Source organism: Homo sapiens, chromosome 1 (assembly GCF_000001405.40).
Source record: "Homo sapiens chromosome 1, GRCh38.p14 Primary Assembly".
Classification (NCBI taxonomy): domain Eukaryota; kingdom Metazoa; phylum Chordata; class Mammalia; order Primates; family Hominidae; genus Homo; species Homo sapiens.
Window position 1 is genome coordinate 46,110,867 of NC_000001.11, and position 22,310 is coordinate 46,133,176.

The 22,310-nt window shown below is 40.6% G+C and overlaps 2 protein-coding genes across 13 annotated transcripts in view, besides 1 other annotated feature; both read right to left on the reverse strand.

Annotated features, from left to right (window-relative positions):
* P3R3URF-PIK3R3 (P3R3URF-PIK3R3 readthrough) overlaps positions 1 to 22,310 on the reverse strand; it is a 136,349-nt gene that overhangs the window by 70,727 nt on the left and 43,312 nt on the right. The gene's annotated exons all lie outside the window — the stretch shown is intronic.
* Positions 1 to 22,310, reverse strand: part of PIK3R3 (phosphoinositide-3-kinase regulatory subunit 3) — a 134,762-nt gene that overhangs the window by 70,727 nt on the left and 41,725 nt on the right. For 6 of the 12 annotated variants that reach the window (NR_137329.2, NM_001328654.2, NM_001328653.2 and 3 more), the window contains exon 1: positions 20,981 to 21,763. The exons of 1 other annotated variant lie outside the window; for it this stretch is intronic. Coding sequence is in view for 5 of the 11 variants with exons in the window: in NM_001303429.2 (NP_001290358.1) it covers positions 20,981 to 21,086 (106 nt within the window). In the remaining 6 variants the exon portion in view is untranslated. Of the gene's footprint in view, positions 1 to 19,756; positions 19,808 to 20,844; positions 20,906 to 20,980; positions 21,764 to 21,832; positions 22,171 to 22,310 lie in introns of those variants that run through there. 5 more of the 12 variants (NM_001114172.1, NM_001303428.1, NM_001328649.1 and 2 more) reach the window with 5 other exon arrangements.
* Positions 21,026 to 21,075: an enhancer, noted in NCBI's record as "active region_991". NCBI's record gives its function as "activates an Ori minimal core promoter by ATAC-STARR-seq in GM12878 lymphoblastoid cells {active_cell/tissue: GM12878}" and the evidence as "EXISTENCE:reporter gene assay evidence [ECO:0000049][PMID:35858748]".

The following is a 22,310-nucleotide window of genomic DNA, read 5'->3' on the forward strand; positions in this document are numbered from 1 at the left end:
TTGGTTTTTTTTTTTTAATTTTCCCATAGAAAAAGTTGAAATGACCCATAAAAAAAGAAAGATGGTCACTCACACTTGCTACATTGCTTCTCTTGTCCCAAGATTTTACCCATCCTGATCTTAGAGCCAAACATACTAGAGCCAAGTAGCCTCTAGCAAGTAAGATACGTAGCTGCCTCTAACAAAATCTCTAGCACAAGCTCTACACATTTCCCTATTACTATATCACGAAAACACTGACCTTCACAAAAGATGTATAGAGTACCTGCTATATGCCAGATACTGGGTGTTATTTCATTACATATATATGTGAATATATATATATGGGCACATAAATATTATAATTCTTATTTAAAAATCCTTGTGAATTAAGTATTATTACTTCCATTTTATATGACAACCATTCAATGTCACATAGTTGGTAAGCAGACCAAATTCAAACCAGTCTTCTAACAATACTTCTTCCTCTCAAGGCAGCATGTACACAAAGCTTCTCAGAAACCCAAAACATGCCCCACCGCTGCCTTCTTACCTCTGGGGGTAAGAAGGGGAATATAATTAGAAAAGGGCATGTTTTAGGCTCCATGCAGTGCTCATACCTGTAACCCCAGCACCTTGGGAGACTGAGGCGGGCAGATCACTTGAGGCCAGGAATTCAAGACCAGCCTGGCCAACATGATAAAACCCCATCTCTACTAAAAATACAAAAATTAGCCGCGTGTAGCTGTGTGCACCTGTAATCCCAGCTACTCAGGAGGCTGAGGCATGAGAATTGCTTGAACCCAGAGGCAGAGATTGCAGTGAGCTGAGATCACACCACTGCACTTCAGCCTGGGTGACAGAGCCAGACTCTGTCTCAAAAAAAAGGGTGGGGGGGCATGTTTTGGGTCTCTGAGAAGCTGGCTATCTATAAAATCTTTATCTAGGTGGTGGTTAAGTAGCTGTTCAATTTATATGAAGTCAACAAACTGTATGTTTATGTTTCCTACACTTTTTAGTATTATTGTATTTCACAAAAAGAAAGTTAAGTCACCATATCAGTGAGGCCTCCTCTGACTACCCAAAATAAAATAGCAATTCCATCTCTGTCCTCCATCCCCCTTAAGCCAGTAGTTGTTTTCTCTATAATATTTATCTCCACCTAACATACTATATATTCACTTCTTATTTATTGTCACATGTCCTCCTACGTAAAACAAGGACTTTGTTTTGTTCACTGTGATATGCCATGGAAAGAGAACCTGAAATAAAATACACCTTTACACCTTTCTTCAGGTTCCTATAATCCTAAAAAAGAATGTGAAACATTGTTTTTGGTTTTTTATAAAAATGGGATCTTATTATACACATTTCTTTATAACTTGTTTGTCTTACTCTACAATCTATTACAGACATCCCTCCAGGTAAATACATACAGACTTATAACACATTCTCTGAGTTGCGAAATATTCCACAGTACAGGTAAATGACAATTTATACTTCCTACTATTGATGGATATTCAGGCTGTTTTTAGTAGCAAATATTGGAAACATTATAAAAATATCCATACATATACCTTTATATGTTGATACTTTTATTTCTACAGAACAGATTCCCAGAAGAGCTATTTTACTATATATTGACAAACTTTCCAAAACAGCTGCAGCAATTCACATCTCCACCAATAGTGAAGCTAATTCATGAATCTTAAGAGTTAATTTTCTTATAATTTATACACTTGCTTTCAAAAAGGATGAGGCAGTTTAAACATCTGAAAACTAAAAATTACTTTAGCAACTAAAACCTGGAAGCATTCCATTCTCACTGTGATCTCTCCCCCACCCTACGAACTCAGTAATATCTGATTTACTATCATCCGCTCTAGTCCCCAAACCTAGAAGTAGCAGAAGCCACTCTCCTCTCCTGCCCAAGTGAAGCCTAAGAGAAAAAGAATCCCACCAAAAGGAGAGAACCTGGGCCATTTCACCATTCCCTCATTTTTATGTAAGAGGCCATATAATCCAAATCTGTCCTTCTTCCTCAACTTGCTTCTCTTGGTTTATACTACCACCATCTACCAAGCTAGAAAACCAAAAGTCATTCTAGATTATTTCATTTTCCTCAGAATAGCCTCGAAGCCCACCAATCCTACTTTTTAAACAACTCTACTATTCATTCTCACTGCTACAATCTTAGCCTTAGGCTTTCATAACATCTTTCTTCTGTACTAAAATAGCCTCCTAACCAGTTTTCCTTCTTTAATCTTATTCTCCTCCAATCTATTTTTTACCTTACAGCCACTGTACTCTCTTCCCTACTTAAAACCAATCAGTGGCTTCCCAAATGCCTGCAGGATAAAATTCAACCCCTAAATATAGCCTTCGGGGCCTTTCATGATCTGGACCGCACCTAGTGGTCCAGATTCATCTAATACCACTTCCTATCTCTCAATTTTTTTTTTTTTTTTTTTTGAGACAAGGTTATGCTCTGTTGCCCAGGCTGGAGTGCAATGACCCAATCATAGTTCACTGCAGCCTCCTGGGCTCAAGGAATCCTCCCACTTCAGCCTCCCAAGTAGCTGGGACTACAGTCATGTGCCACCACACCCAGCCAGATTTTTTTTAAAGAGATGGGGGTCTCACTATGTTGCCCAGGCTGGTATCAAACTCCTCAGCTCAAGAGATCCTCCCACCACAGCCTCCCAAAGTGCCAGAATTATAGGCATGAGCCACCATGCGCAGGCCACGTCCTATCTCATACATTGTCTTCAACAAAACTTAAGGTGTTTTAATAACTTTATGCATTTATTCAGGCTGTTACGTCTCCTACTCCACCAGTAAACCAATCATTCCCTATTTCATTTATATATTCTTCTATTGCTATACTTTGACATTCATTCAATCAATATTTACTGAATACTTTGTATGTGCCAGAGACAGGGCTAGGTATTGAAGATCCAGCAACTAATTATGGACTCAGTCCTTATCCTGATGGAATTTATAATTTAATGAGGACTAAAGACACTAAACGATAATAAGTATGGTTAAGGATTATAAAGGTGGTAGGTAGTACAGTATCTATTAAAAATATATCTTAGATGACAGGAGAAAGAGAAGGAATTATAAAGAGGAGCGATGCATGGGTATATTTACAGATATGTCTTTCATAATTACAGTCTGAGCTTCTTGAGGACAGGGATTATGTAATCTTCATATCCCTAGCCAGGACAGTAAACAGCAACGTATAGTAACGTACACTGACTAAACTACAAAGATCACTGCCCTATTCACTCCTGGGCTGATCACTGTGACTATGCAAGTGCTCTCATTGACGAGGCCTAGATCACGTGCCCACCCTTAAACCAATGGGTTAGGCCAACCACCCAAGCCACATCATTCCAAATGAAGGAGGAGTGGTTCCAAGAGAAAAATCAGGAAGTTCTTACCTAAATAAGAGGGAAGAGGGAAGAGAAAGTAGATATGCAAAAAAACCAGCAGTCCTCTCTTCAGTGGACATTGTTGTTATCTTCCAAAACATCTTACCGCCTCCCCTCACTGGTAAAAAGTTTAAGTGGGATTGACCCCTTCCTCAGCTCCAGAAGTAGGCCCTGATTTGACATAACAGTGGTTCTTAAAGTGTGGTTTGTGACCAGCAAAATCAGTAACATCTGGGAACGTGTTACAAATATAACTTCTTGGAACCAAGCCTACGGAACCTACTCAACTAGACATTTTGGGGGTAGGACCTAGCAATTTGTGTGTTTTGTTTTTGTTTTTTGAGATAGCATCTTCTCTGTCATCTAGGCTGGAGTGCAGTGGCATAATCACAGCTCAGTGTAGCCTCGACCTCCCAGGTTCAAGCAATCCTCCCATCTCAGCCTCCCAAGTAGCCGAGACTACAGGCATACACCACCAAGCCTCACTAATTTTTTTTTTTTTTTTTTTTTTTGGTAGAGACAGAGTTTCACCATGTTGCCCAGGCTGATCTTGAATTCCTGGACTCACGTAATCCTCCCGCCTGGTCCTCCAACAGTGCTGGGATTACAGGCATGAGCCACAGTGCCTGGCTGCAATCTGTAATTTAACAAGTCCTCCAGGTAGTTCTAATGCACACTCAAGTTTAAAAGCCACTGGTCTAGACACAGAAAGCTACCCAGATTTTAAGACAGTGATCCTTTGGAGCACAAGATGGTTCAATTAGTGTCAAGCTTAGGATTTTGCACTGTATTTGTAGGAAGCATCTACTTTCTCTCCAGGAATGAGGAAACATACAAAGGCAGCCATCTTGTACTACTGGGGAAGCCCGTTTGAGAAAAAAAAGCTAATACAGGGTAAAGCCAAGAGAATTATAGAAAAACAGGGCCAAAGCCTGTACCCTTCATCAAACCATGCCAGGGGCCCTCACTCCCTTTGGTCTTTTCAATTACATAAGCGTATGTAATTCAAATTCAAATTCCCTTTGTTTTAACTAATTTGAGTTGCATTTTCTGTTATCAAAACTGAAAGTATCCTCATATCCACCACATCAAGTTACACATGTACTCTTAAACACCATAGAAAATGTACTAGAAAATACAGCCTAGTCAGCATCCTCTCTCTAAATTAAGGTTGCTAGATTTAGCAAATAAAAATATAGGACACACAGTTAAATTTGAATTTCAAATAAACAATGAATAATACTGCATGGTCCATACTGCATATATTTTATCTGGCAATACTAAATTTCAAGGGCTGAACACTAGGAACCAGTCCCAGTTAGAGAGATATGATAGCAGCTCTTATATAGTTTATGACTATCTGGAGAAAAACTAAATTCCAAGTCCCGAATTAATGTCCTGCAACAGGTCTGAACCACCTCGTTGTCCTTCTAAAACTAAACAGACTTTTTTTCCAAAAGCCAAAACATATTATATCCTCTACCACAGATAAGTGTGACAGAAACAAAAATGTTGCTATATTTGAGTATTCATAGCTTCTTTTCTTTGCTCTCTTGGTTCCTGGCCCTTATTGTACAGATCAGAATAATGACACGGGCAAAGGAGAGAGTTTAATGGGAGACAGGTACTCACGGAATAGAAACTTAATAGGTTTGAGAAGGGTTACAAAAGAAACGCAAAAATAAGACTGCTCAAGTTGTCATGAGTTGGTAAGTTTTAAGAGAGAAGAAAGTTTGGGATTAACCATGCCAAACATGAAGAAATAGGATTTTAAGTAGTATTGTAGTTTTATGAATGTAAACCCCTTTGGCATTTTTGAGAGGATGGAATAAATACTTAAATTACTTTTCAATTTAATTTGAATATTAGGCTGGTTCTTCCTCTGAATGGGACGCTATGGAGATGAGCCACAAAGCATCCCAGTTTTATCAATAATAATGAAAATAGGCCAGGCACAGTGGCTCATGCCTATAATCCCACTGCTTTGGGAGCCTGAGGCAGGAGGATCACTTGAGGACAGGAGTTTGAGACCATCCTGGGAAACACAGTGAGACGCCGTCTCTACAAAAATTAAAAATAAAAAAAATTAGCCAGGCATGGTAGTGCATACCTGTAGTCTCACCTACTTGGGAGGCTGAGGGAGGAGGATCCCTTGAACCCAGCAGCTCAAGGCTGCAGTGAGCTATGATCAGGGCACCGCATGCTAGCTTGGGTGACAGAGTTAAAGCCTTATCTCTTTTTCAAAAATGTGTTTTTGCAGTCCCAGCTACTCGGGAGGCTGAGGCAGGAGAATTGCTTGAACCCGGGAGGCAGAGGTTGCAGTGAGCCGAGATCACACCACTGCACTCCAGCCTGGGTGACAGAGCGAAACTCCATCCAAAAAAAAAAAAAATTTTGTTTTAAATAAATAAATAAATAATAAAAATAACAACAACAATAACAGATACCTGCCCTAAGTGTCTTATGTGTACTATTCCATATAATTCTCACAATAACCCTACAGCAGGATTAATATTCTTTTCTATGCTATACAGATTAGAAAACTGCCCAAGGTCACAAACTAGAAATAGGCAGGGCTAGAATAGGAAATCCCAACAACCTGAGTCTGGAGCTCTTAAACACAGATACTTTACCCATTTTATATCAATATCTATCTATACTCAAGCACTTAAACATTATGCCAAAAAGAAAATAACATAAATCTCTATTAATTATTCTCAGAAAGCAAGAACTTCAGCACATAAAGTAAAATGAAACATGTATGGCATGGCTTCGTTCTCTTTAGTTTCTTCTCCCCTTCACAGCCCACCAAAAAAATTAAGAACATCAGGAAATTTTCTTTTCCAAAGTTACTTCTGAAAGTAAATTGGCTGGGTGTGGTGGCTCACATCTATAATCCCAGCACTTTGGGACGCCAAGGCAGGAGGATCCTTTGAGCTCAGGAGTTCAAGACCAGCATGGGCCACACAGTAAGACCTCATCCCTACAAAAAATCAAAAAATTAGCTAGGTATGGTGGCACGCACCTATAGTCCTAGCTACTCAGGAGGCTGGGGCAGGAGGATCACTTGAGCCCAGGAGGTCACGGCTACAGTGAGCCATGTTTGTGCCACTGCATTCCAGTCTGGGTGACAGCAAGATCTTGTATCCAAAAAAAAAAAGTAAATTATAGTACAATCTAAATTTATCAACTAATGTTTATTTAAAAAGTAACTCATGAACAAGCTTTCATCAAACAACTAAGGCCACATATACTGTTAGTTGGCAACTGGATGTCAGAGATCTGAATCACTTAACACTTCAAAAAAGAGAAAAATTAGCTGGGCATGGTGGCATGCACTTGTAGTCCCAGCTACTCGGGAGGCTGAGGTAAGAGGATTGCTTGAGCCTAGGAGGTTAAGGCTGTAGTGAACCAAGATCATGCCACTGCACTCCAGCCTGGGCAACAGAGTGAAACCTGTCTCGAAAGAAAGAAAGAAAGAAAGAGAAAGAAAGAGAGAAAAATAGGTCAGGCATAATGGCTCAGGCCTGTAACCCCAGCACTTGGGAGGCCAGGGTAAGGGAATTGCCTGAGGCCAGGAGTTCAAGGCCAGTCTGGACAACACAGCAAGATCGTGTCTCTACAAAAATAAATTTGTTTTAATTAGCCAGGTGTGGTAGTGCACGCCTGTAGTTGGTCCTAGCTACTCAGAAGGCTAAGGTGGGAGGACCACTTGAGCCCAGGAGGTCAAGGCTACAGTGAGCTGTTGGTGACACTGCACTCCAGCCTGGGCAACACAGCAAGACCCAGTCACGCACACACAAAAAAACCCACACAGAAAAATACATCAAAATATATATAAATAGCTTTGGCATTACTTTAAAAGTTAGACTTATTAATTATTAAAGCATATATAGCATATGGAGAAATACAAAGCTAAGAAATTAGAAAATAAAGTGAGTAAGTCAGTTTGGAAATGACAAGCTATATAACTAGTAACATTCAGAACGCAACCACTTTTTACAACCTCACAGCTTCTACCCTTGTCCAAGCCACCATCATCCCCTCAGCTTGACTGTTGCAATAGCCTCCTAACCAGTTTCTCTAATTCTACCTTTCCCTCTTTCCACCAGCAGCCAGAATGATTCTTTAAGCCAAGAATCATAGTACATCACTGTTCAATACACTTTGATGGCTTCTCATCTTATACGAGTTTTAAAAGCCAAAGTTCTTACAATGGCTTACAATGGCATACATGGTGGGAAAGCCCCACCACCCATACCATTACTTGTCTTTTTTTTTTTTTTTTTTTGAGATGGAGTCTCCCTCTGCCACCCAGGCTGGAATGCAGTGGCACGATCTCAGCTCACTGCAACCTCTGCCTCCCGGGTTCAAGCGATTCTGCTGCCTCAGCCTCCCAAGTACCTGGGATTATAGGCGCCCACCACCACACCCAGCTAATTTTTATATTATTAGTAGAGACAGGGTTTTGTCATGTTGGCCAGGCTGGTCTCAAACTCCTGACCTCAGGTGATCTGCCCACCTCGACCTCTCACAGTGCTGGGATTACAGGCATGAGCCACCACGCCCAGCCACTTGTCTTTTTTTACTACTTTCCCCTCATTCCATTCTAGCCATACTGGCCTCCTAGATGATCCCTGAATATATCACAGAGATGCTCCTGCCTCAGGGTAGGTCATCTGATATCCTCTACCTGGAACCCCCATCCTCACACCTGTTATATTTCCATATGACCTGCTCTCCCATTGCTTTAGGTCAGGCCCTCCCTGGCCTCCTATTTAAAATAGCAGATCTCTCACCCTGTACTCTATTTTTATCCTCTGTTTCTTTCTCCACAGCATTTAACACCATCACTAGGTATTTTACTTATGAATTTGTTTATTCTCTGCTCTCCTCACTCCCTTAGAAATGTACAGTCCATGAAGCATTTTTGCTGTTTTGTTCACTACTACACTTAGAATAGTGCCTGGCAGTCAAATATTTGTTGAAAAACATGAATTAACACACAAACAAAAAAAATTTACAGGTGTTTACTATGTTCTAGGTACCACACTAAGTACTTGACAGTTATTAATCTACTAAATCCTCATAACCCTATTGAATGACCATTATCACCCTACTTTTTGGGTGAGGAAACCACAACACAGAAAAGGTAAGTAAATTGCCAAAGGACACATGTTAAGAAGTGGCAGAGGCACAATCTGAACTCAGGCGTTCTGATTCCAGAGACCCCTCTCTTAACTACTCCACTATACTGCCTCTAGATTTCTAACATACTGAGAAAAATCAATACTTAGGCACATCATACATTTTAATTGAAAGATATAATCTACAGGTTACTTTAAAGTAGTATTCCATTTTTTTGTTTTTTTTGAGATAGCCTCACTATGCTGCCCAGGCTGATCTCCAACTCTTGGTCTCAAGCAAAACTCCACCTTGGCCTTGTAAGTAGCTGAGACTACAGGTATGTGCCATTGTAACCAACTCCTAATTTTTTTTTTTTTTTTTTTTTTGAGACAGGGTCTCGCTCTGTCACCCAGGCTGGAGTACAGTGGTATAATCACAGCTCAGCGCAGCCTCGACTTCCAGGGCTCAAGTGATCCTCCCACCTCAGCCTCCCAAGTAGCTGGGACTATAAGAATGCACCACCATGCACAGCTAATTTTTGTATTTTTTGTAAAGACGAGGTTTCTTCATGTTGCCCAGTCTGGACGGCTCCTAATTTTTCAGGCTAGCTTTCAAATCATAAATCATTCCACAGGTCCCAAGTTTACTTAATTTACTGAACTTTAGAATTTTAAGTGTATAGTTTTGCAAAATGTTCTCTTACACTCATTTACTTGCTACACTAACACTATTCCAATGCCTATATTCCTCAAATTAGTTAACTGTAAACCAGAGATGTTAGCTTCCTCATCTTCTAGTAAGCAACCAACAAGATAGAAAAAGGTCTGTCTTATATTAACTCAATACTATGTGACCCTATGAAGTCCAACTTAGAAAATGAAAATGTGGCTGGGCGCGGTGGCTCACGCCTGTAATCCCAGCACTTTGGGAGGCCAAGGTGGGTGGATCACAAGGTCAAGAGATCGAGACCATCCTGACCAACATGGTGAAACCACATCTCTACTAAAGACAAAATTAGCCAGGCGTGGTGGTGGGCGCCTGTAATCCCAGCTACTCAGGAGGCTGAGGCAGGAGAATCGCTTGAACCCGGGAGGTGGAGGTTGCAATGAGCTGAGATCGTGCCACTGCATTCCAGCCTGGCGACAGAGGGAGCCTCCGTCTCAAAAAAAATAGAAAATGAGAATGCATTTCCCACAGCTAGATTTTAACTTTGAAAAAGTAAAAAATAACTTGCTAATACTGTTTATTGACAAAGACAATAACACTGAAGAGAGTTATGGTTTTCCAAATTACTTTCCTAGCATCAATTCTCTCCCTCTTCCTCTTTAACAGAATCTCTCCCCAATACAACCATATACCTCAGTAGAAGCCAACACCATTCCAGATTGAGAAACGTGATTAACCTAAGGGTTATTTACTGGTGACTGGTTCAGGAACTAGCCTATGACCCAATTCTGGCCAAAAAGATGGGAAAGAAGTTTGCTAGAGGTTTTTGTAGAAAGTTTCCTCTATCCAAAAACAGTGGCACAGGAAGAGATACTTTTCCTCTTCTTTTGGAAGTTGTTATTTATGGATATGATATGATGCCTGGAATCACCGCAACCATTTTGCTACTAGCCTGAGGATGAAGCCAGTCCCAAGGATGGCAGAATTGAGCAATATATGGCTAAGCAAAATATGGGTTTATACTGACATTGTTGAACTACTGAAATCAACTAACTCTATTAAATGAGAAGATAAAATTTATTATTTTTAAAGCCATTTTGAATTAGTTCTGTTGCTTGCAGCTGAAAACATATGAATTAAACACTTTTTATAAAATACATCCCAGAACTAATATCAGAAAAAAAGGTTGTGGTTAATTCTATAAATGTCTATTAGAAGTTCAACATAAATTAGACCATATTGAGTGACCCTGTTGTAAAAAGGTCACTCTATCCTCTATGGAAAAAAAAGCTTAATACATATGTAAGAACAGAATCTAAAGCAATATATTTCCAGCACAACAATTCCTTTCAGCAAGACCTTTTTCAGAGCAATTTTCATTCAGATTTTTAATTTTGATTCATAATTGAATTTTTCTTAAGTTTATAAATAAATACGGGTTGGGCACGGTGGCTCACACCTGTAATCCCAGCATTTTGGGAGGCTGCGGTGGGAGGATTGCTTGAGCCCAGGAGTTCGAGACAAGCTTGGGCAACCTGGAAAGACTCTACCTCTATTTAAAAAATAATAAATATTTAAAAATAAATAGTTAATAAATAAAAATTATCACAATATTTAAGATTACACAGTTGCATGCTCTGGATTTGTTGTTACATATCCTCAGGTAAGGATAGGCAATCTGGCCCACAAACAGAACATGAAACAGGAAGTCCAAGTATGGATAAGGGTAGATGGTATTGACTTTGGCTTTGTGTTGGCTCATCAATACCAACTCATAGGGCAGTTTTCATACTGATATGCGACATGCAAAATGGTATGATTTGGCAGGCTGGACGTAGCCTACTGCCTCTTTTATTAAAATAATGAACTTTAAAAATTAGCCAGGTGTGGTGGTGCATGCCTGTAGCCCCAGATACTTGGGAGGCTGAGGTGGGAAGGCTACAGTAACTTGTGATCATGCCAATGCACTCCAGCCTGGGCAACAGAGCGAGACTCCATCTCAAAAATAAAATAAAATAAAATAAAATAAATAAATAAAAGAAAAAGAAAACAATAAGATAACCCTTTTACTTTATGTGAATTTACAAATATGCACAAGGAACAATACATACAACATATATGGGCAAGCAATGTGGAAATTGATCTTTAATAAGGCTTGATGGCTCACTTTACTTGTTAAAAGTCAAGTCTTACACACAGTAAAATTAAGTGGTATAATAACACACTGGATAACTTAAAACTCTCCGTTTGGCCCTGTGTTATTTAAAACTAACCTAATACACTGTGAAAAACTTACTACTCATTTCTTTTTTGAGACAGAGTCTCGCTCTGTCACCCAGGCTGGAGTGCAGTGGCGCGATCTCAGCTTGCTGCAACCTCTGCCTCCAGGGATCAAGCGATTCTCCTGCCTCAGCCTCCTGACTAGCTGGGACTACAGGCGCGCCACCACGCCTGGCTAATTTTTTTATTTTTAGTAGAGATAGGGTTTCACCATGTTGGCCAGGCTGGTCTCGAACTCCTGACCTCAAGTGATCCACCCACCTCGGCACCTCAAAGTGCTGGGATTACAGGTGTGAGCCACCGCGCCCGGCCTATTCATTTCTAATTGTTCAAAGTTTCAAACACAATTTTACTCAGAGCTATATAAATCTTGCTAATAACATTAAGTATTGCATTTTTTTTCATTATTCCCTTTGTTACAATAAGTGCCCAGCCAATTATCTTCATAAGTTTAGAGGTCACATGCTGATAATAAATAATATTAACATTTTAAAGCTTAAGTCACAAAATGAAGCTAGTTGGATCCATGGGCCTAAAATTTAACAAAATACTTGGGCACTGGATGTTTAGGGAAAAAAGATACAAGCTGGGCATGGTGACACATGACTGTAGTCCCAGTTACTCAGGAGGCTAAGGTGGGAGGATCACCTGAGCCCAAGAGTTTAGGCTGCAGTGAGCCACTGCACCCCTCAGTGACAAAATGAGACCCTGTCTCAAAAAAAGAAAAAAGAAAAAAAGATATGAAGGAAATACAACAGCCTGACCTCAAGAAACTTATCTTGTTTGGGAGGTGAATTATATTCATGAAATAATTATCATAATATAACACATGATTCCAAGTCAAAATAACAGAGACAGCCCTACATATAAAAGGGTACAGTGCTAGAATTTTTGGAGAAAGTTTTAAGAAGGAAAGGGGACGCAGACAGGCTCTTGATTTAAAGATGGAGGTGAGACGGGCATATTCTACATAGGAAGCAGCTTAAGCAAAAGCTTGAGATAGGAATGAGCAATCAGGGTATTGGGCTAGAAGGAATTCGACTAGAAGTATGAATAGAAAATTAGTAATAAAGTTATAAATATGTAAGTTAGGTGCCATATTACTAAAGACTATGTATACCAAGTTTAAGAATATTATCTCTACTTAAAAGAAATGAAGAGCTGATTATTTTTGAAAAGAACAGTAAAACAATGAAAATAACATTTCAGTAGAACTAACCTGTCTGAAGAATTTGGGACAAACTTATAGTGAGGGGTAGAAGAAATCGGAAACAGAGCAACCAGTTTAGAGGTACTGGTTAAGAACCTGGGCTTTAGTTAGGCAGATGGACCTGCTCTGCTACTTGGTAAGTTACTAAACCTAAGTCTCAGTTTCCTGTCTGTAGAGTGGGATAATAACAATGCCAATTTTATAAGGTTGTTGTGTGGCTAAAAGAATACATATAAAAGCATTTAACATAGTGCTTGGACTATAATAATTTCTTCAACAAATGTTAGCAACTATTACCTTCATTACAAATCATTTCTAAGGTGAGGTATTGAGGAACTGGACAAGAGGCAATAGAAACTAAAAGGAAAAGATGACTTGGGTTGACATTTCCATAGACTCATGAAACGTTATAACTAGAAAAGACCCTAGAGAACAATTCCAAAACCCAAAATGGATAAAATGTGGCCCCAGTAAACACTGGGAAGGAAGAAAAGAATGGGGCAAAATAGCTCAAAGGTTTTGACTGCAAGAGTACCCAAAGAGGTAGACATGGGATAATTACATGTTTTCAATAAGAAGCTCTAAATACAAGCTACACTTATTTGGTACACAATATATGTCAAATACTATACTAGATATTGATATGGTACATTTAATCCCCACAACTCTACAAAGGTAAGAGTTCAATTTTACAGAAAACAGATGCACAGAGAGGTTTTCTCTGGGCAGGATAAGAAGCAAAGCTAGTTTTGTAATCTATGTCATCTATTTCCAAAGCCTGTGTTCTTTCTACTACACTCAGGCTGTCTCCCCCTTTAATACCAATAAAAAATTATATCATATCACATAGATACATTTATATTTTTCTACCTATCTTGTTAAATATGGCAATCATAAACACGTCCTATCTTTTCTACATTCTAAGAAAAATATAAAAGTATTCATGATCAGCTGGGTGCAGTGGCTCACACCTGTAATCCCAGCACTTTGGGAGGCCGAGGCGGGAAGACCACCTGAGGTTGGGAGTTCGAGACCAGCCTGACCAACATGGAGAAACCCCATCTCTACTAAAAATACAAAATCAGCTGGGCGTGGTGGCACATGCCTGTAATCCCAGCTACTTGGGAGCCTGAGGCAGGAGAATCGCTGGAACCCAGGAGGCGGAGGTTGCGGTGAGCCGAGCTCGCACCATTGCACTCCAGCCTGGGCAATAAGGGTGAAACTCTTTTTCAAAAAAAAAAAAAAAAAAAGGCCGGGCGTGGTGGCTCACACCTGTAATCCTAGCACTTTGGGAGGCCGAGGCGGGTGGATTGCCTGAGGTCAGGAGTTTGAGACCAGTCTGGCCAACATGGTGAAACCCCGTCTCTACTTAAAATACGAAAAATAAGCTGGGTGTGGTGGTACACACCTGTAATCCCAGCTACTCGGGAGGCTGAGGCAGGAGAATTGCCTGAACACAGGAGTCGGAGATTGCAGTGAGCAGAAATCATGCCACTGTACTCCAGACTGGGGGACAAGAGCGAGACTTTGTCTCAAAAAAAATTTTAAAAATTAAAATTAAAATTAAAAAAGCATTCAGCATCAAAACAATGAGAATAAATTTTAAAAGCATTATCAAATGGGAGAATCACCATACTTCTAGTGAAACATAGTTGGATACACTATACATTATAATATATTAAATGAAAGCAATGACTAATCTTTTTCAATAAGAAGACAAAAAAACTGGCATGGCTTTTACATCATTTGATTATATAAGCATTTGTCCCAAACGACAATATCATTAAAAACTGACAACTAGATCATAAAAGAAACATCTTACTACACACAGGAGAAGTATTTATATAAGATGAATCCAAATGTGCAGGGTTAAAAATAAAAATTCAACCACATAAGGCTGCTTAACCTGTTAACAGTAAGGATCATGAAGTGGCAGATGACCTATTTATTCTATGTAGCTCTCAGCAGATATTTTCCCCAACCATAGGGCCAGTGTACCAGTTTTCCACCAAAATGTTACTTAATCTAAATTGTGCCAGGTTGAAAATACCAAGTATGTCAAGGTAAGCAAATAAGCTTCTTCGAAACCACCTTTGTGTCTGGCTTCAAAGTCAGAAGATACTTTACTAGGTTGTCCACCAAACTATATAGTCTAATTTCTAGACTAGTAGGTCTCAAAATGCGATCTAGAGTTTCTTTTTTTTTTTTTTCTTGAGACAGAGTCTTACTCTGTTGCCCAGGCTGGAGTGCAGTGGCACCATCTTGGCTCACTGCAAGCTCCGCCTCCCGGGTTCATGCCATTCTCCTGCCTCAACCTCCCGAGTAGCTGGGACTACAGGCGCCCGCCACCACACCCAGCTAACTTTTTGTATTTTTAGTAGAGATAGGGTTTCACCATGTTAGCCAGGATGGTCTCGATCTCCTGACCTCGTAATCCGCCTGCCTCGGCCTCCCAAAGTGCTGGGATTACAGGCATGAGCCACCGCGCTTTGCCGCAATCTAGAGTTTCTAAGACCCTTCAGAGGGTCCAAGAGGTCAGAACTATTTTCATAGTATCACTAAGATACTATTGGCCATTTTCACTCTCATTCTCTTATAACTGTACAGGGGTGTTTTCCAGAGGTTATAACCTGTAATATCTCAGTAGACTCAATGCAGCAGCAGAGATGAGAATTTAAATGTCTTCTATTGGCCAGGCATGGTGGCTCACACCTATAATCCCAGCACTTTGGGAGGCCGACTCGGGTGGATCATTTGAGGTCAGGAGTTCAAGACCAGCCTGGCCAACATGATAAAACCCCGTCTCTACTAAAAATACAAAAATTAGCCAGGCATGGTGGTAGGCACCTGTAACCCCAGCTACTCAGGTGGCTGAGGCAGGAGAATTGCATGAGCCTGGGAGATGGAGGTTCCAGTGAGCTGAGATCACGCCACTGCACTCCACTCTGGGCAAAAGAGTGAGACCCTGTCTCAAAAAAAAAAAAAAACCAAATAAGTCTTCTATGAAGCTGGATAGTAAAGATGTCAATGCCATTCTTCCCACTAACTCTTTTTGCTTTTAGAAAATATAGTTATTTTTTCATTTAGAAAAATTATGCTAACATGTTTGCCAGGCATGGTGGCGCAGAGGGATGCTGAGGCAGAAGGATCACTTGAGCCCAGGGGTTCAAGGCCAGCCTGGGGCAACAAAGCAAGACCCTGTCTCAAAAAAAAAAGCCATATGTATAATGCTTTATTATTTTTTAATGAATTAAATATATTTTAATTTCTCAGTTATATTCTAATACTACAAATATCAATAGATATAATCCACTTAAAGAGAAGCCCTTTGAGGTCTTCTAATTTTTTAAGTCTAAAAGGGGTACTGAGACCAAAAAAAATTGAGAACCACTTTTCTAGACTTTCCTATATTCATGTTTTGCAAAACAAAACTTTTCATTTTCTAATTATCTAAGGAAGAGACGTTGCTGCCCTAAAGATAATTTTAGGCTGGGCACGGTGGCTCATGCCTGTAATCCCAGCATTTTGGGAGGCTGAAGCAGACAGATCACTTGAGCCCAGGAGTTCAAGGCCAGCCTAGGCAACATGGCAAAACCCTGTCTCTACCAAAAAATAATTTTTAAAACATTAGCTGGGTGTGGTGGCAAGCACCTACAGTCCCATCTCCTAGAGAGGCTGAAGTGGAAGGATCATTTGAGCCCAGGAGGTTGAGGCTGCAGTGAGCCATGATCATGCCACTGTACTCTAGCCTGAGCAACAAAGGTGAGACCCTGCCTCAAAAAAAAAAAAAAATATATATATATATACATAATTTCAGAAGTCTGTCTTGATAAGAACAAAAAAAAGCCAACAATTTTTAAAAAAGAATTGTCCATTAATTTAAAAAGGAAGTTATTTATTACATTTTCCTAAAATGAAAACAATAACAACGTCAAAACTAAAGTGCTGAGCTAACAGACCACTAGCTACAACCTTTTGTGTATGAGTTATAATCAGTTGTGTATAGGTAATCCTCAAAAGACCAAAGGTGACGCTCTTTGAGAGGCCTCTATCCAGCTTTGCTACAGAATAATCCCAATTCCCGAAGTCATAGCAAGACTAACCAAGATGCTTATAGGCGATTCTCTGTACTACAATCTTAACATTTCTACAATAAAAGTTTTGTTGTTGTTGTTTTTTGTAGAAATGGCATCTCTACAAAGCTGTTCTGGTCTAGACCTCCTGGCCTCAAACGATCCTCCTGCTTTGGGCTTCCAAAGCACACTGGGATTACAGGCATTAGCCACCACACCTAGCCAAAAATAAAAAGTTTTATGTTTCATCTGAACAGTTCAGTATATCTACTGCTGCCAGGAAATACACAAACATTAAGACATTAAACTCCCATTTGGATTCAACTTTTACATTACTATGACTGTAGATACACCAATCCATGCAGTTATTAGGAACCTTCAGGATGCACAACAATGTTAGTTATTGAAAAGATAGGCTAGAGGGAAACATCTTTGAAAAATAGTTTTTGAGGCCACTAGAAGCAATAATAGATAAAACTTGGCATTTATGGCTCAGTCTAAAATTAAGATGAAAGGCTAGGCATAGTGGCTCACGTCTGTAATCCCAACACATTGGGAGTCCGAGGTGGGCAGATCACTTGAGGCAAGGAGCTCAGGACCAGCCTGGCCAACATGGCAAAACCCCATTTCTACTAAAAATACTAAAATTAGCCAGGCATGGTAGCATGCGCCTGTGTAGTCCCAGCTACTCGGGAGGCTCAGGGACAAGAATCCTTTGAACCCAGGATGTGGAGGTTGCAGTGAGCCGAGATAGAGCCACTGCACTCCAGACTGGGCGACACAGCGAGACTCTGTCTTGAAAATAAAATAAAGATGAAAAAACATATAAAAATATTGGCACCATTACAGTTAAGGGCCCTAAGTCAACAAATGTCTAATTCAAAAGTTATTTAGCCCTAGGCTACTACAATAGCCAAGCAATGAGTTGAGCAAGGACCTTAAGTAGAAAGGCACCTAAAGACTAGAAGGAAACAATGTTCCTTATTTACTAATTAAACATATACTGACTAAATTGTCTACTACTTGCAAGACCCTGGGCAAGCTAAGCAGCTCATGACCAGGTGGGAAGCCAATTTCATAGGGAGAAGCATACATAAATAGTACAGTAGCTTCTCTAGACAGAATGGAAAAAATTTCATCTGAGAAGTGCTACAAGAGTAGGCCAGGCGCGGGGTCTCACGCCTGTAATCCCAGCACTTTGGGAGGCCGAGGCAGGCAGATCACCTGAGGTCAGGAGTTCGATATCAGCCTGGTGAAACCCTGTCTCTACTAACAATACAAAAATTAGCTGGTGTGGTGGTACATGCCTATAATCCCAGCTACTTGGGAGGCTGAGGCAGGAGAATCACTTGAACTCAGGAGGCGGAGATTGCAGTGAGCCAAGATGGCGCCACTGCACTCCAGCCTGGGCAACAGAGTGAGACTCTGCCTCAGGAAAAAAAAAAAAAGAAGAAGAAGTGCTAGAAGAGGGAGGCAAGAGGAAGGAGGGATGACTTTTAACAGAAGGGTTTAGAGAACATATTCTGACACCAAAGGTATCTGACCTGGGTCCTAAAAACACATACATATAAGATTTCAACATGTAACTATTGTGAGTGAAAGGCATCCCAGGAAGAGGAAAAAAAGCATACATTCAAGTAACAGCAAATACAAAATTGCTTCTATAGAATTTATGATGCACTCCAGGAGGAGAATTAACTAGAAAATTAAGTTGGAAGCAAAAATTAGAGGGACTTATATGAGAGGGTAAGCAATTGGGGGATTTTATTTATTTATTTATTTATTTATTTATTTATTTATTTATTTTGTAGGCAAAGGGAAGCCATTCAGAGGTTTTTAAACCCATTGGAAGATTTATCATTGTAAGATAAATCATCAGATGATACTCTTAACATTACCGTGGCTTGAACAGGATAGAAATGGGAGAGCAGTTAGTACGCTATCACAGCAGTCCAGGAAGGAAATAATAAGAGCTTGATGTGGGGTGGGAGCTAGGAAAAACCTACAAAACATGCTGCAACCACTTCACTAATGATACAGTTTTAAATGTTTTGAAAACTTAATTTATCACATAAAACAAGGTTGACATTCACACTATTTCCATGAAAAACCATTCACTTCATAGGCAATGTTTCAGCATACTCAAGTGTGCTTCGTTTTCAAAAAGCTGTTAGGAATAACTAACCATATTCTACATTAAAGCTACAAAAGGGGTAATAAAGAACAGCATATGTATTTTTCAGTATTCTCAATAGAATCTCAGTATGCACAATTTCATTCAAGGATGAACATTTTAAACTCAAATGTTTATTTCCATGGAAAATAAAGTTTGGATCAGAATTTTCTATACAACCTTATAAGACCCACGTCTCCATATAGTTATAACAGTCAACTTTTCTTAAAATTATTTTTGGACAACTCAACTCAACTTGACCAGTATTTTTCTACTAGGCTAATATATTTCAACCATAAGTGCATTCTTCATTTTCTCCCCTCCTCCCTACTCACCTCCCACCCAACAAATTCCCTTTGTATGTCTGCAAGGCAAGGTACTATATAATGCAGTATAATTCTAAGGCAGTTTGAATATATAATTCTTATAACAGGAATCTAGAATTATTAACCTTACTTTTTACAATAAAAGTACCAGTGATGTACTAAATTTCTATTCATATGTATGACAAATGTATCTAACATGCTTTACCGTTAGGGGGAAACAAAGGGGGAAAGACACAATAGATGGGTGGCAAATCTTACAAACTTTACAAAACACTGAAAAGCTGCATCTGGATTGCAGTCACAATTATAAAAGCAAATAAAGCTCTGAAATAAAGGAAAAGAAAAAAATTCTAAGTGATCATCAAGAGTGAAAAAGGTTTATTCAATACTAGTTTTTAGTACAGCACCATTTAACACTGACTAATTGAAAAAAAAAACAGGATAATTCACCGTTTGCAAGGACACAGGAAACAATTTCTACATACCTTCTATAAGACAGTTACACTTCTTCACACTTGCATGGCTCAAATCCTTTCAAACGTTTCCAAAAATACAGTCTTATAATAAACGAGGTTCCCCAATGACACACATTTTATTCTGTAGACTTAGCCATAACACGTTTTAAAATACATAAAGAATTCATCCTCGACAGAAACAAGGAGTCACAAAGGCTCTCTACTTATTCAGAATCATTACATAAAACACCATCTGTAACTGCAAACAGGGTTTGAGAAAATCTGACAGCTAATAATCATAAAATGGGGTAGACTTTAAAGGAAAAAAAAGCCAACTTTTCCATTTTGCTTTCCTTTTCCTTTCCTACCAGATACACAAAATGTCTGTAATAGCGTCAGACAGAGCTTTAAAATAAAAATATAGTGCTATATATGTATACTTTACATTACGTGTATAGGAACACATATGTATATATCACACGTTCACAGGAAACAGAAAGGTTCCCTCGTTTTTGTTTTTGCTTTTTCTTTATTCTAGGAATTGAAGTTACATTAAACCCTATCCCATAAATTAAGTTAAATCATCATTAAATTAAAGAGTAATAAAATATTGCACGTAGATTTCTCTGAGCGACTATCTTCTGAGAAGGAAAACCTCAGACTAAGACCATGGCTGAATACGAACGCCCAATCCCTAAAAAAAATCACTAACCGGCATTTGTTTCTGCAAGAGAAAAAGGGAGTCTTACAATGAATAATCACATAACTCAGTTTCAGAAGTTAACCGGGGTAAAACACAACGAACCAAATTAGACAAATGTATGAAAGGACAAGCTTTCAAGAATTCGCCCAAAGTGAAAGACTGGTTTTAACCCCGGGATATAAAACATCCTTTGCAGGTAGAAGAGTCTTTAATTGAAAAAGAAAAAAATAAAATAAAGTGGCGGGCACAAGAAAAACCTGAACGACACGCAAAGGCAAAGTAAAAAATAATGATAATTTTAAAAAGGGGTCTCTCCTCCCACCCCCACTTCCAGCCCCCACCCCCACCTTCGCAGGACAATAGGATCAGGGTCCTAACTGCAAACTTTAAACGTGTAAACCAGAAGCAGTTTTACCGCAGCTGTAACTGCAAATCTCCTCATCCCGAACCTAGCGCACCCAGGAATACTTCTGCCCTGAAAACATCAGCAAGCTCTTGGTAAATACAAATCAGACCCATCACGAGATTCTTTTTTTTTTTCTCCCAAGTACCTGGAGGATCCATTTCAATATAAAATATCAGTTCTGTCGAATAGGGCATCATCACCTCCCTCCAGTCTGCGTCATCGCGGTCCATACTCCACACCGTATTGTACATCGCGCTGTCAGGGGCAGGTCGCCAGGAGATATATAGAAGGCATATATTTTTTATCTGGTATTTAAAAATCTAAAAATATATATCTGCAAAAGTTCCACACGGAAATGTACTTCGGGTTTTCCAACGGCCAGTACCAGTCCGGCCAAACTACCCGAACAGGGTCCTCCCCCTCTCTCCTACAGAACACAACAAAATGCCCCCGAACTTTCAAGCTATGGGCTTTTCTCCTCAGAGGATTACACAGAGGCTTGGGGGACGGAGAGCAGAGGTGTTAAAAAGCGGCTTCCCAAAAATCCTTTCTACACAGTCGCTCTCCGGGGAGAAAAGCTCCCACCGCCTCCAAATCTTTCCGCGGAAGCCACTTTTGTGTCCTTCGAAGGAGGGAGAATGAAGAGGAAAAAAAAGAACACGTTGGGAGAAACCCGGGCAAGTGACAAAGGAAGGCAAAAAAGGGGGCTGGAGATTGCGTTCAAGTTTCGGGGTCCCACTGGTCTGCAGAGAGCGAATCCCCCAGAGGCCGGGACTCGGGCTCCTCTCCGGTCGGTCTCGGAACCGAAGCTGCCGCAGCCTCGGGAATGGGGCCGGCCGGAGAAGTCCAGTCAGCTCGGCTTGTCTGGGCGCTCCCGCCGGGGTGTAAGAACCAACCCGACCGCACCAACTGCCCTCAAGCTCTGCCCGGACTCCAGCCACTAGAGTTTCATTTTAACGGCGCGGAGGGGACACCCTCCCCGCCCCATGCTGCCCACCCGCTGAGGCGCCACCCAACCGCGCCGGGAGGGGGGACAGCAGGCATCACCACCGCCCCTTCCACGCCGTCCCGCCTCGATGTACCGGGATTCTGTCAAGTGCCTGAGAACATGTTCAAAAAGCTGCTCTCCATCTCGACTTTCACGTCTCCCCACCGCTCTCTAGGCTTCGGCTCCCCAATCAGCCATCCGCGCTCTCCCCCAGCCTCAATCAGAATGGTACGATCCGGGCGCTGGCCGCACTCCAGGAGTCAGTGCCGGGAGCACGCGAGCCAGGCGAGGAGGGAGTGGGGCGAGGGAAGAGAGGCAAGGTGGGTGGTGATTGGCTGAGGCCGGTTGCCGGAGCCTGGAGCCTGCGTCTTTTGTCTGCCTTGCTCCTGCGAAGGAGCGGGAGACGGCTGCGCGCCCCAAGCGGGCCAATCAGGAGACAGCCGGCGCCGGCCGGTAAGGCGGCGATTGGTCAGAGCCCAGTTACTAA